At 47.9% G+C, this 12,987-nt stretch overlaps 1 protein-coding gene and 1 non-coding gene across 2 annotated transcripts in view, besides 3 other annotated features; both read right to left on the bottom strand.

Annotated features, from left to right (window-relative positions):
* IRAK2 (interleukin 1 receptor associated kinase 2) overlaps nucleotides 1-12,987 on the bottom strand; it is a 78,827-nt gene that overhangs the window by 16,015 nt on the left and 49,825 nt on the right. The window contains exons 7-10 of the mRNA NM_001570.4: nucleotides 10,683-10,797; nucleotides 7,942-8,051; nucleotides 4,900-5,095; nucleotides 1,298-1,360 (exon numbers count right to left, since the gene is read on the bottom strand). Of these exons, the coding sequence (NP_001561.3) occupies nucleotides 1,298-1,360; nucleotides 4,900-5,095; nucleotides 7,942-8,051; nucleotides 10,683-10,797 (484 nt within the window). The remainder of the gene's footprint in view (nucleotides 1-1,297; nucleotides 1,361-4,899; nucleotides 5,096-7,941; nucleotides 8,052-10,682; nucleotides 10,798-12,987) is intronic.
* Nucleotides 1,012-1,306: a silencer, noted in NCBI's record as "tiled region #8698; HepG2 Repressive non-DNase unmatched - State 15:Elon". NCBI's record gives its function as "represses a minimal TATA promoter and a strong SV40 promoter by Sharpr-MPRA in HepG2 cells {active_cell/tissue: HepG2}" and the evidence as "EXISTENCE:reporter gene assay evidence [ECO:0000049][PMID:27701403]".
* Nucleotides 1,420-1,469: an enhancer, noted in NCBI's record as "active region_19421". NCBI's record gives its function as "activates an Ori minimal core promoter by ATAC-STARR-seq in GM12878 lymphoblastoid cells {active_cell/tissue: GM12878}" and the evidence as "EXISTENCE:reporter gene assay evidence [ECO:0000049][PMID:35858748]".
* Nucleotides 1,645-2,427: an enhancer, noted in NCBI's record as "H3K27ac-H3K4me1 hESC enhancer chr3:10266988-10267770 (GRCh37/hg19 assembly coordinates)". NCBI's record gives its function as "activates a minimal SCP1, AML or CMV promoter by ChIP-STARR-seq in primed H9 embryonic stem cells {active_cell/tissue: H9 hESC(primed)}" and the evidence as "EXISTENCE:reporter gene assay evidence [ECO:0000049][PMID:30033119]".
* Nucleotides 10,412-10,519, bottom strand: LOC124906338 (U6 spliceosomal RNA). Its single transcript, XR_007096296.1, has one exon. It is a non-coding gene; the product is annotated as a U6 spliceosomal RNA (small nuclear RNA).

Below are 12,987 nucleotides of genomic sequence, written 5' to 3'. Positions count from 1 at the left end.
CACCACTGCACTGCAGCCTGGGCGACAGAGCAAGACTCCGTCTCAAAAACAAAAACAAAAAAAAAACTCATGATGTCGGCTCAGGGAGATCTGACTCAGAATTCCAGCTCTGACACTTGGTAATTCCAACTGAGATCCTAGGCCAAACTCAGAGCCAGCTTTCCTCATCTGCAGATGAATATAATGACTCTATCATGGAAAAATTGAGATGATTTAGGTAGATAATGTATGGAAAGTATTTAACACAAAGTCAGGCTAGGTTGTTATATTTTTATTCTTTTTTGAGAGAGGGTCTCACTCTGTCACCCAGGCTGGAGTGCAGTGGTGCAATCTTGGCTCACCGCAACCTCTGTCTCCTGGGTTCAAGCGATTCTCCTGCCTCAGCCTCCCAAGTAGCTGGGATTACAGGTGTGTGCCACTACGCTTGGCTAATTTTTGTATTTTTAGTAGAGACAGGGTTTCGCCATGTTGCCCAGGCTGGTCTCGAACTCCCAGCCTCAAGTGATCCGCCCGCCTTGGCCTCCTCCAAAGTGCTGGGATTAGAGGTGTGAGCCACCACACCCAGCCAGGTTGTTATATTTTTTAAATGACTGTGTATATCAGATCTTTGGCCTACAAAATGGAAATTGTTTTTATTATAGAAACTTGTTTAAAAGGGCTGAAATTAACTTTTATCAATTTGAGGAAAATCCCTAATGAATTGCCTGATATATAGAGAAGTGCTTTCTCTTTTATACAAGTGCTTTCTATAAACATTCCAAAATCTTTTTTTTTTTTTTTTTTTTGAGATGGAGTCTCGCTCTGTCACCCAGGCTGGAGTGCAGTGGCATAATCTTGGTTCACTGCAACCTCTGCCTCCCAGGTTCAAGTGATTCTCCTGCCTCAGCCTCCCGAGTAGCTGGGATTACAGGCACATGCGACCACACCTGGATAATGTTGGGGGTTTTTTGTAAGTTTTTTCTTTTCTTTTTTTTTAATAGAGACAGGGTTTCACCATGTTGGCCAGGCTGGTCTTGAACTCCTGGTCTCAAATGATCCACCCACATCAGTCTCCCAAAGGCTGTGATCACAGGCATGAGCCACCGCACCAAGCCCCAGATGCTATTATCATGAAAAAGCAATGGTTGGCTGGCAGGTGGGGATGGGAGGTTAAAGCTGCTTTGTGGGGATGCAAATGCAACCTTGTACCGGGCCTCATTTGCATGTGTAAAACTAGCTAGAATTGAGGTCGTTGCCCTCTCTACAGAGCTGTGAGGCCCAAATATACCTCCCAGCCAGATGTGACAAGTTCCCTTACCAGGTAAACCGGGCTTCGGTTGTTATCCATTGCAGGGATGCCCGTGAGGACCTCGGCCAACACCTGGAGAGAACAGAACGTGAGTTAGCATGGTTCAGACGCTCGTGCACACAGCCAGGCAGCAGATTCTGTCTTCTCTTCTCAGTTCTGAGCTCCAGGTGCAGCTCTGCCATTGCCAGCAGACACACCTGCCCAAAATCTGGAACATGGGAATATCACTAAACACCTCCTCCAATTAAAGATGCCACCAAGCTGCCAGTGGAAGGTTGTAATTAATTGATAGCCAGGCAGAGAAGATGGTTTTCAAAAATTCATGTGTGTGTGTGTTTATATGTATTACCATAAGATATATATAGGTATAGATAAATATAGATACACACACACGTATATATACACTATTTTTTAAAGATTGTTTCATTTAAAAATCCTTCAGCTGGCTGGGCACGGTGGATCATGCCTGTAATCCCAGCACTTTGGGAGGCTGAGGTGGGCGGATCACGTGGTCAGGAGATCGAGACCATCCTGGCTAACACAGCGAAACCCCGTCTCTACTAAAGATACAAAAAAATGAGCCAGGCGCGGTGGCGGGTGCCTGTAGTCCCAGGTGCTTGGGAGGCTGAGGCAGGAGAATGGCGTGAACCTGGGAGGTGGATCTTGCAGTGAACTGAGATCGCACCACTGCACTCCAGCCTGGGCGACAGAGCAAGACTCCGTCTCAAAAAAAAAAAAAAACACCAAAAAACCTTCAGCTATGGCAAGCAGGCATTGCTCTGTGAATCTCAGGGAAGGAAAGACTCTGCATGCAGGCAGGTATCTATTCTAGACAAATCTTGCAGCATCCATAGCATGTTTCACTCACAGGCCTTTACTAACATTATTTATTCATTAGCGCATCCACTCGCAGAAGGAGCACAACCCTGTATACGTGTAAGTCACCACAAAATTGGCAAACCATGATATATGTCTTCATAAACAGGAAACTGCTTTGAACAGGGTTTCTCAGTAGAGACAATGCTATGATGGCTAAGGGCTCTACAGTCAGGCCTGAGTTCAAATTCTGACTCTGTTCCTTATATGCTCAGGTGATCTTTAGGCAAGTAACTAAAACCTGAGCCTCAGTGTCCTCATCTGTTAAATGGGGACTAGCAGTTGTGAATATTAAAGGTGTGAAGACCCCACACTTAGTGTGGAACCTCTCTCCCACAGCATCTCTCAAAGCAAGTCAGAATAGGGTCACATTTATAGCCAAGAATCCCTCCAAGCCTGGAGGAAGGAAAGGATAAAGGTTTTAAACCACCCAGGATTAATAACAGACTGGCAGTGACCAGAAAAGGGCAGCAGAGGGCATCACTGCTGCAAGTGGGACAGGAGCCAATTGAAAAGGGACTCCTGACAGGTCCCTGCCAGGAAGGGACAGAACAAGGGGAAATGAATAAACAAAGACTTCCTGTGCCCCTTTCACAGAGCAGGCTCTGAGCCAAGTCCTTTATAGAGGTCACTGAGCACTCACCAAAAAACACTGAGCAATGCACTGTGATCCCCACAGGAGGAATCAAAGTTCAAAAGCGTTATCAGTCAACCAGAGGCAGGGCTGAGCAAAAGGGTGGCAGGAGCCAGGAGGCATTCAATGAATGAATGGATGGATGGGTGGTAGATGGATGGATGGATGGATGGATGGATGGATGGATGGATGGATGGATGGATGGGTATGTGGGTGGGAGGGTGGGTGCATGGGTGGATGAATAGATGGATAGGTGGGAGGGTGAATGGATGGATGAGGAAGTCATCTGTGACGCTAACACACCAGTTAGAAGGTCAAGAGTAAACAGATATCAGAAGGAGGGTGTAAAGGTGGGAATAACAATAACCACAGTCATCATAATATTCTTGGTAGGTGCAGGGTGCAGGGTGCCATGCTCACCTGCTTATATACATTATCCCATTCATCTCCATGTGTATCGTTAGCCCCATCTTACAGAAGGCTTAACTGAGGCCCAGAGACAGAAGTGCTAGGTGTAAGTCACACAGCTGAAAGTAACTGAGCCGGGCCTAGGGGTTCTATCCCCCTGGTTCTTTTTTTTCTTTTTTTTTTTTTTTGAGACAGAATCTTGCTCTGTTGCCCAGGCTGGAGTGCAATGGCGCGATCTCGGCTTACTGCAACCTCTGCCTCCCAGGTTCAAGTGATTCTCCTGACTCAGCCTCCCAGGTAGCTGCGATTACAGGCACATGCCACCACACTCAGCTAATTTTTGTATTTTTAGTAGAGCCGGGGTTTCACCATGTTGGCCAGGTTGGTCTTGAACTCCTGACCTCAGGTGATCTGCCCACATCGGCCTCCCAAAGTACTGAGATTTTAGGCATGTGCCACCACTCCCTGCCCATCCCCCTGGTTCTTAAAGGAGAAGGAGCCTGGACTAGCCCTGCTGAGCTTCACTGAACAACTTGCAGTGGGGCTGAGGGAGGCAGAGGAACCAGCTGGGAGACACGGAGGTGCAGAATCTGGGGTTCTGGCTGAGGGCAGAGGTGACTCAGGGCCACGGTTCTGGTAGCAGAGGTAGACAGACAGGAGACTGTGGTCAGAGAGAGGAAGTACAGAGTTCAAGGCTAGAGAAGAAAAGAGGGTGAGGCCCAAGGGGCAGCTGTATGCACTTGGCTGAAGCCAACCTGACTGTTACTCTTCTCAGCCAGCATTTCCCAGACTGGGTTCCATGGAACACTGACAAGGACAGATATTCTGAGAACACAAGGTTCCATAGTCAAATGAGCTTGGGAAACACTGCATACCCCTCTCTGGTGAATTCACAAGTACCAGATTAAAGGCTCACTACCATTCAACCAGCTTGAATTAATCTTGTGGTAAAGAAACCTGCTTGACTTTGCCTAATGCAATATTTCCAAGCCTGTCAGGGCACAAACCCTTTTAACACATCAATCCTAGAGGTCCGAAGGAACTGGAGTTCTACAGAAATATACTTTGGAGACTGCTACATGCAGACCATGAGCTCCTGAGGGGAGGGACTGTGTTTTTGTTACATTCATATTCCTAGTGCCTGGCACGACATAATGGCAGACAAGGATGGTGGTGGTGGTAGGGTGGGATGCTGGGTGGGTCAGTGGTCGCTGAATGGATGGGCAGCTAAAGGGTAGATGGATGATCGGACAGCGATGAACAAATAAGGACAAATAGACAACTGGATGGACAAGTGGATGGCTGGATGGGAATTACGGAAGTCAGGAGAGGATATCTGGAGCCTACTAGAACCTGGACACTCATGAGTGGTTTTCCTTCAAGGGCTGGCAAATTTCTTCTGTAACACGCCACACAGTAAATATGTGAGCTTTTGGGGAGCATGTTCAGTCTCTATCACATATTCTTTGTGTTTAAAAATATAATCCTTTATAAATGTAAAACTACCCTTAGCTCACAGACCATACAAAATACGCCACAGGCCAAAGTGGCCTGTGGGCCACAGTTTGTCAGCCCCTGTTGTACTTTGATGGAACCTGTCTGTGTGCCTCTACCGTATCCTGTGATTACAAAGGAGCCGTGGGAAGGACAAATCAAGGTGGGCCCCACTCTACGCAGAGCAGGACACTCTTACTATTCCACAGCTGAAGATGTCCACTCGCTTTGTCAGCTGCCCCACCCGGATGAAATCCTCTGGCAGATACGCGGCTGACGTCCGGAGCAGGTGAGTCTTCATCATGGTGTATTTTGACCTTTTGTTGACAGGACACAGATGAGCCATTGGGTGAGCAAGTTTGGGGGTGAGATTTTGGTCCAGCAAGACATTAGAGCTGTGGAAATGAAAGGAGAGGGAACCTTCTCATTTTGAGCTGGATAACAACAAGTTGCCATGGAGACCCTTTGGGGAGACAATATAGCAACCTCACCTCCTGCAAGTTGAGGTCTCTAAAGACCCTCAGCATGGAGCTTCTGAGCCAGCCCTGACTGGGGAAGAGAGGGCATCAGGAGCACACTCCCTCCAGCAAATGGAGATGGAGTTCAGACTTAGTCTTGCTGCCCCAGGAATGTGGCCAAAGTGCAGCCTCCCTGATCCCCACAGATGCCAACCCTGATCAGCCTCAGCTTGCCACGCCTACAGGCTGTGCAGACTCAGTCTCTTCCACAACTGTTCCAACCCCCAGCTCTGGCCTGGCTGACTCAGGTCTAAGTGGCCAGCATCCTTTGTGACTAAACCTGCCCAGATCATGTAAAAAAAGAAAGAAAAAAAAATTCCCTCTTGGCCGGGCACAGTGGCTCACGCCTGTAATCCCAGCACTTTGGGAGGCCGAGATGGGCAGATCACCTGAGGTCAGGAGTTCAAGACCAGCCTGGCCAGCATGCCGAAACTCCATCTCTACTAAAAATACAAAAATTAACCAGCCGTGGTGGTGTGCGCCTGTAGTCCCAGCTACTCAGGAGGCTGAGGCAGGAGAATTGCTTGAACCCGGAAGCAGAGGTGCACTCCAGCCTGGGCAACAGAGTGGTACACTGTCTCAAAAAAAATCATTTGATCTAGTCATCTAACCCCCAGGAGCAAACACTGAGAACATACTCCAAAATGGGAAAAAGCTAAGCCACATGTGTACAGATATATAGTGCAGGCCAGGTGCAGTGACTCATGCCTGTAATCCCAACACTTTGTGAGGCCGAGACAGGAGGATCACCTGAGCCCAGGAGTTTGAGACCAGCATGGGCAGCATGGCAAGACCTCATCTCTACTAAAACAAACAAATTCAGCACGGCATGGTGGTGCGTGCCTGTGGTCCCAGCTACTTGGGAGGCTAAGGTGGGAAGCTGCGGTGAGCTGAGATTGCGCCACTGTACTCCAGCCTGGGCAAAAGAGCAAGGCCCTGTCTCAAAAAAAAATTTTTTTTGGCCAGGCGCGGTGGCTCACACCTGTAATCCCAGCACTTTGGGAGGCCAAGGTGGGTGGATCACGAGGTCAGGAGATCGAGACCATCATGGCTAACACAGTGAAACCCTATCTCTACTAAAAATACAAAAAGTTAGCCGGGCATGGTGGCAGGCGCCTGTAGTCCCAGCTACTCTGGAGGCTGAGGCAGGAGAATGGCGTGAACCTGGGAGGCGGAGCTTGCAGTGAACAGAGATTGTGCCACTGCACTCCAGCCTGGGCCACAGAGCGCGACTCCATCTCAAAAAAAAAAAAAAAAAAAAAAATTTTTTTTTTTGGTATTTTTAGTAGAGACGAGGTTTCACCGTGTTAGCCAGGATGGTCTCGATCTCTTGACCTCGTGATCTGCCCGCCTTGGCCACCCAAAGTGCTGGGATTACAGGCGTGAGCCACCGCGCCCGGCCAAAAAAAAAACTTTTTTAGCGTGTGTGTGTGTGCACGCCCGCAAATGCACGGGTGTGTGTGCCAGGAGTGGTTAAGTAAATTATGGGCAAATTCCTTCACGGGAAGACTAAGACACTAAAAAACATGACGGTATACAATGTAGCGAAATGTTTACTATGTTTAAATGAAGGGGTAAAAAACAGGATGTGAATTGGTACCCAGGTGCTACCTCAGGACTAAGGATTTGTATAGGCAGGAAGTGAAAAAAGAAACAAAACCTAGAGGCCAGCTGATGAGTCATGGGGTAGGTTAGTGGTGACCTCTCTCACCCTTTCATTTCCTTGCCTGCTATTAGAATTATTGATGCAATCAAATAAAAATTAGGGGAGAGAGCCGGGGTGGTGGCTCTCACCTGTAATCCCAGCACTATAGGAGACCAAGGCGGGTGGATCACCTGAGGTCAGGAGTTCGACACTAGCCTGGCCAACATGGTGAAAGCCTATCTACTAAAAATACAAAAATTAGCTGGGTGTGGTGGCGAGCACCTGTAATCCCAGCTACTCAGGAGGCTAAGGCAGGAGAATCGCTTGAACCAGGGAGGTGGAGGTTGCAGTGAGCTGAGATCGCACCACTGCATTTCAGCCTGGGTGACAAGCGTGAAACTCCGTCTCAAAAAACAAAAAAAAAATTGGGGGAGAGAAAAGAGGAAAGGACTTCCACAAGTCAAATGGAAAGAGAACTTTGGGGAAATACGAGTTCTGTGTCTCTGGAGCCAGTTCTGCCAGATATTCTGGTATCTTCGGAATCCCTCCCTATCCTAACCGTCTCCAGATGGGGACCTCTCCCTCTCATGTGCATGGCACTGACATGCAGGGGTGCAGGCCTAACCTGCAGGAGCCTTCCAGACAAGATGCTAACACCAACAGCTACACAAGAAGGGGACAGGTCTCAGAAAAGACACTGAACGAGGAGCTCAAAATCCCAGGGGGTTGGCAGACATGGCCCAAAGTTCGAGGATGAGGTCCAGGCCAGCTGCTGAGTGGACAGTGCGACGCAGCAAGGTGTGGAGGGCTTGTTGGGAAAACAGCAGCTCAGAAAGACAAATGTGACAGGTAGGCAATTCATCCTGAGAGCAATTGGACTTGGAGCACAGCCCGGAAACACTCATTTTTGAGGGCATAACAGAGAAAAAGACATCCAGGGGAGGGCAGAGGAGAGGAGGTAGGAAGAGAAAAACAAAGAGGACAGGGGTGAGTGGCGGAGCGGGAGGTGAGCCAGGAATAGGCACCAGTTCCACCCTTGCAGCCCAGGCCCCAGCAGGGTCCAGCCCACCTCTCTCACCTCTTGACGTTGCTGTGGATGATCTCCAGACCATGCAGGTACTCGACGGCACAGAGCAGCCCTGAGCAGATGCTGACACGCTGGGGCCAGGGGAGGGGGTCCGAGCCACCCTAAGAGAAAGAAAAGCAGGAGGACAAATAGTCACAATGTACCTTTTTAAAGTCCTGATGGCAGCCAGGTGCGGTGGCTCACACCTGTAATCCCAGCACACTGGGAGGCCCAGGCAGGCAGATCACTAGTTCAGGAGATCGAGACCATCCTGGCTAACACGGTGAAACCCCATCTCTACTAAAAATACAAAAAATTAGCCGGTCCTGGTGGCGGCTGCCTGTAGTCCCAGCTATTTGGGAGGCTGAGGCAGGAGAATGGCGTGAACCCAGGAGGCAGAGCTTGCAGTAAGCCGAGATTGCACCACTGCACTGCAGCCTGGGTGACAGAGCGAGACTCCATCTCAAAAAAAAACAAAAACAAAAACAAAAAAACGAAGTCCTGATGGCAGGGTCCCAGGCTCCTGATCCTCCTCCCACCCTTCATGTCCTCTGTCACAGGGCTCAGCATGATACTGTGAGTTTTTTCATTGTTTTGTGTTTGCTGGTTTTGAGACAGGTCTTGCTCTGTCACCCAGACTGGAGTGCAGCATCATAGCTCACTGTAGCCTTAAAATCCCAGGCTGAAGTGACTCTCCCGCCTCAGACTCCCGAATAGCTGGGATCACAGGCACGTGCCACCACTCTCAACTAATTTTTGTATTTTTCGTGGAGACAGGGTTTTGCCATGTTGGCCAGGCTGGTCTCGAACTCCTGGGCTCAAGCGATCCGTCCACCTCGCTCTCCCAAAGTGCTGGAATTACAGGCATGAGCCATGTGCCTGACCCTGTACTATGGGTTTTGACATCAGACAGATCTAGGTGTAACTCCCAGTTCAGACATGCATTAGCTGTATAATTTTGGAAAAAGACACTTAACATCTCTGAGCCTCAGTTTCCTTGGGTATAAAATGGAAATGTTAATCCCTATATTTTAGGGTTGCTGTAAGGATTCAAGGGAGTATATGGTATACCCCTAGCATAGCACCTGCCACACAGTAGGTGCTCAATCAGCAGTTATTTTTATCATGTCCATTACAGAGGCTGCTCTGGAATTTCTCTCTAAAAGAAGCTGGATGGGAGAGGAGCTAGGGAGCTTGTGTTTGCAAGCCAAGCACCTGGGCCTTACGCTGATTTTATCTGTATTAGGGGAAACTTCACCAGGGCTGATGGGGATTGTGGGATGGGCTAAAGCCTCTCATTTGCTCCCACTGTTGTTCTAAGACTGACTCTCCCAGGCTAAATCATCACCGTTTTGGTTTTTTTTTTTTTTTTTTTTTTGAGACGGAGTCTCACTTTGTCGCCCAGGCTGGAGTGCAGTGGTGCAATCTCGGCTCACCGCAACCTCTGCCTCCCGGGTTCAAGTGATTCTCCTGTCTCAGCCTCCTCAGTAGCTGGTACTACAGGCACACGCCACCACGCCTGGCTAATTCTTATATTTTTAGTAGAGACAGGGTTTCACCATATTGGTCAGGCTGGTGTCAAACTCCTGACCTCAAGTGATCCACCCACCTCGGCTTCCCAATGTACTGGGATTACAGGCGTGAGCCACTGTGCCCAGCCTCATCACCTATTTTTGAAGCCCTGGTGTAGGTCCCACATCCTCTAAGAACTGGCCTGGACAGCCCCTGCTAATTTCTTCTCAAAAACTCTGAAACCTAGAGCCAGACGAACCCAATGTAAGCTCTGGCCTGACATTTGTCCTCTATGTTCCTTTGGGCAAGTCACTTTGTCTCTATGTGTCAGAGATTCCTCTTTTGAAAAATGAGGGAAGAAATTGCTTTGGTTGTGGCACGGCCTGGAGGTGATGACCTACGTAAAACCCTTATCACAGCAACCTGCATACAGTGAGTGCCCAGAAAAGCTAAAGATCATTAGTATGCCGTGAGTAACTGCTTTGTCTTGTCCCTGCCATGGGAAGCAATAATTCTGTTATGGAATAACTCTTTCCCCTCTATTTGAGGATAAGATAAGCAGAAGACCTGTTTTAAAACACTGTAATTTTTATTAAGGATTACCTTCACATGATATAATACTCTAATAGTAAGTTTGCTTCTTATCCTAGGCCCCAATCACCTAGTTCTGCTCCCTAGCAGCAGCCAGTAAACCAGTTTCTTGTGTATCTTTCCAGAGACATTCCATAAACACACAAGCAAATAGGTATATATTAGAAGAACATTTTATAATAAAAATTCACCTCCACTTTTCCATACTCTTTACCTCTTAATTCTTTTTCTTGTCCTACTGCATTGGCTAACACCTCCAGAACCATGACGAACGAAGTTAGTTCTATGAGATACCTTTGTCCTGCTCTTGATTTGAATGAAATGCTTCTCGTCAAATAATTTTTTATAGATTTTTCCTGAAGATGTTTAATCAGATCTTTTTGAGCTTTTCTTTTTCTTTTTCATATTTTGTCATCCTCATTCAGAGGCCATGCTGATCTTCTCTGTATCGTTCCAATTTTGGTATATGTGCTGCCAAAGTGAGCACTTAACCAGATCTTATGTATCCTGGCCCCACTTCTCTCCTTGAAGTCTCCCTGGTCTCACCTAGATGGCCCCTCTCCCCTCTGAACTTCTGTAAGTCCTTAACCCTTGACCCCATGGCTGGGTGCAGCCTGGTCCCATTCTCTGACCATGACCCAGTCCCTTACCTGACCCTGCAGTCTGTCCTGTAGGGAACCATTTGCCATGTAGGGGTAGATGAAGCTGTGAAACTGTCTTGCAGCACAGAAGCCCAGCACAGGTAAGACATTGGGGTGGCAGCATCTGGAATCGGGCGTCAGTGCAGGTGTGAGGAGTCAGACGGAAAGAATGATCTACTTCCTCATGTCCCACCCCTCTTCTGCCCTCTCCTCCTCCAACGCCACCAATAACCTCCCAGGTACCACATACTCTGACCCCTAAGGGCCTGGCCCCAGGGTGGAAAGATGAAAACTGTCTGCCTTCAACGAGTATGGTGGTCCTCATCCTGCTTTACTGCTCTGCAACACATGACATCTCAACTGCCCCATCTCCAGAAACGGAGACTGAGAGGTTAAGGGACTTGCCCAAGGTCACAAACTAGAAAGCAGTAAAGCCAGGACCAGATCCCACACCTGCCTGACTCTAGGACTGGGGTTCTTTCCTGAAATCCTCTTCTGCTGGTTCTCAGTCACCATTCCCTCCTGACTTTCCTCCTACCTCTCTGACCACTCTTTCCTGGCCCTTTTCACTAAGACCCTCCTCCTTTGCCTTCCTCTTTCTGCCAGCTGGACTCCTCATCTTGTTTTGTATGTTGCTCCTCCAGGAACCTCCCATTGCTATAAGGAATATTCCCAAATCTCTTATCTCCAGCCCCATCCTAAGCTCCAGACCTGAATGTCAATTTGCATCCTGATGCTCAGGTCAACATCATCCTAGCCTCAACAAGTCCCAAACCTGCTTCTTCACCCATATTTATTATCCCAGAAAGGCACATCACCACCCACCCAGTTTCCTAGAAACCTTCTTATCTCCCGTATCAAATCAGTCACCATTCACTGCCACAAATAACTTTTAAAATGTCCCTTCATTCCCCTCTCCTCTGCCTTGGGTCACTTGGATTGGGTCAGGCTCTGATTCAGCCTCCCCAAGACTGCTGTAAATGGCCTCCTGCCTTATCTCTCCGCCCTCCTCTGCTTCCCGCAAGCCATCCTATTACTCGCTTTTGCATACTTATTAGAGTTATTTACATGTCAGTCTCCCCACTGGACCATAAACCTCCCCAAGGCAGGGGCTCTGTATGCTTCTGGCGTACACTCCCTAGAGCCTAGAAAAGGGCTTAACTACCCACATTTTCTGAATCAATGAATGAAGGAGTGACTGCCGACTCCATGAAAGCACTAAGCCAAAGTGGAAAGGGAATCATACTTCCAGTTTTTATTAGATGTATGTGTGTGTGTGTATCTGTGTGTGTGTGTGTGTGTGTGTACACATGTGAGTATTCATATACATGTATGAATAGAGAAAGCATTAAAGAAAACATATCAAAATATGGGCCCAGCACAGTGGCTCACATCTAAAATCCCAACACTTTTGGAGGCCAAAGCAGGAGGATCACTTGAGCCAGGGAGTTCAAAACCAACCTGGGCAACATAGTGAGATCGTGTCTCTACAAAAAAAGTTTTAACAATTAAAAATGAAAATATATCAAAATATTAAAACAGTAGTGCTTATTTATAGGTGCTGTGAAAAAGTTTCTATTTTCTTATTTATAATTTTCTTTATTCCTTTTTAAATTTGTTTTACTTTTTAATTAATTAATTAATTTTTTTTTTTTTTTTTTTTTGAGACAGAGTCTCACTCTATTGCCCAGGCTGGAGTGCAGTGGTGCGATCTGGGCTCACTGCAACCTCCACTTTCTGGGCTCAAGTGATTCTCATGCCTCAGCCTCCTGAGTAGCTGGGACTACAGGTGCATGCCAACACACCAGGCTGATTTTTGTATGAATTTTTTTTAGTAGAGATGAGGTTTCGCCATGTTGGCCAGGCTGGTCTCAAACTCCTGACCTCAACTGATCTGCCCACCTCGGCCTCCCAAAGTGCTGGCATTACAGGTGTGAGCCACCATGCCTGGCCTTTATTTATTTTTGAGACAGAGACTCACTTTGTTGCCCCGGCTGGAGTGTAGTGTCATGATCTCGGCTCACTGCAACTTCTGCCTCCTGGGCTCAAGTGATCCTCCCATCAGCCTCCTGAGTAGCTGGGACTGCAGGCATACACCACCACACCCAGCTAATTTTTGTATTTTTTGTAGAGACGGGGTTTTGCCATGTTGCCCAGCTGATCTTGAACTCCTGGACTTAAGTGATCCACTCGCCTCAGCCTCCCAAAGTGCTGGGATTATAGGTGCGAGCCACCATGCCCAGCCAAAAAAAGTTTTTGTATATATATTTTTTTCAGTTGAGACAGGGTCTCGCTATGTTGCCCAAGCTGGTCT

Source organism: Homo sapiens, chromosome 3, assembly GCF_000001405.40.
Source record: "Homo sapiens chromosome 3, GRCh38.p14 Primary Assembly".
In the NCBI taxonomy this organism is placed as follows: domain Eukaryota; kingdom Metazoa; phylum Chordata; class Mammalia; order Primates; family Hominidae; genus Homo; species Homo sapiens.
The sequence above is the reverse complement of the archived record's forward strand: the minus strand, read 5'-3'. Positions and strand labels throughout refer to the sequence as shown.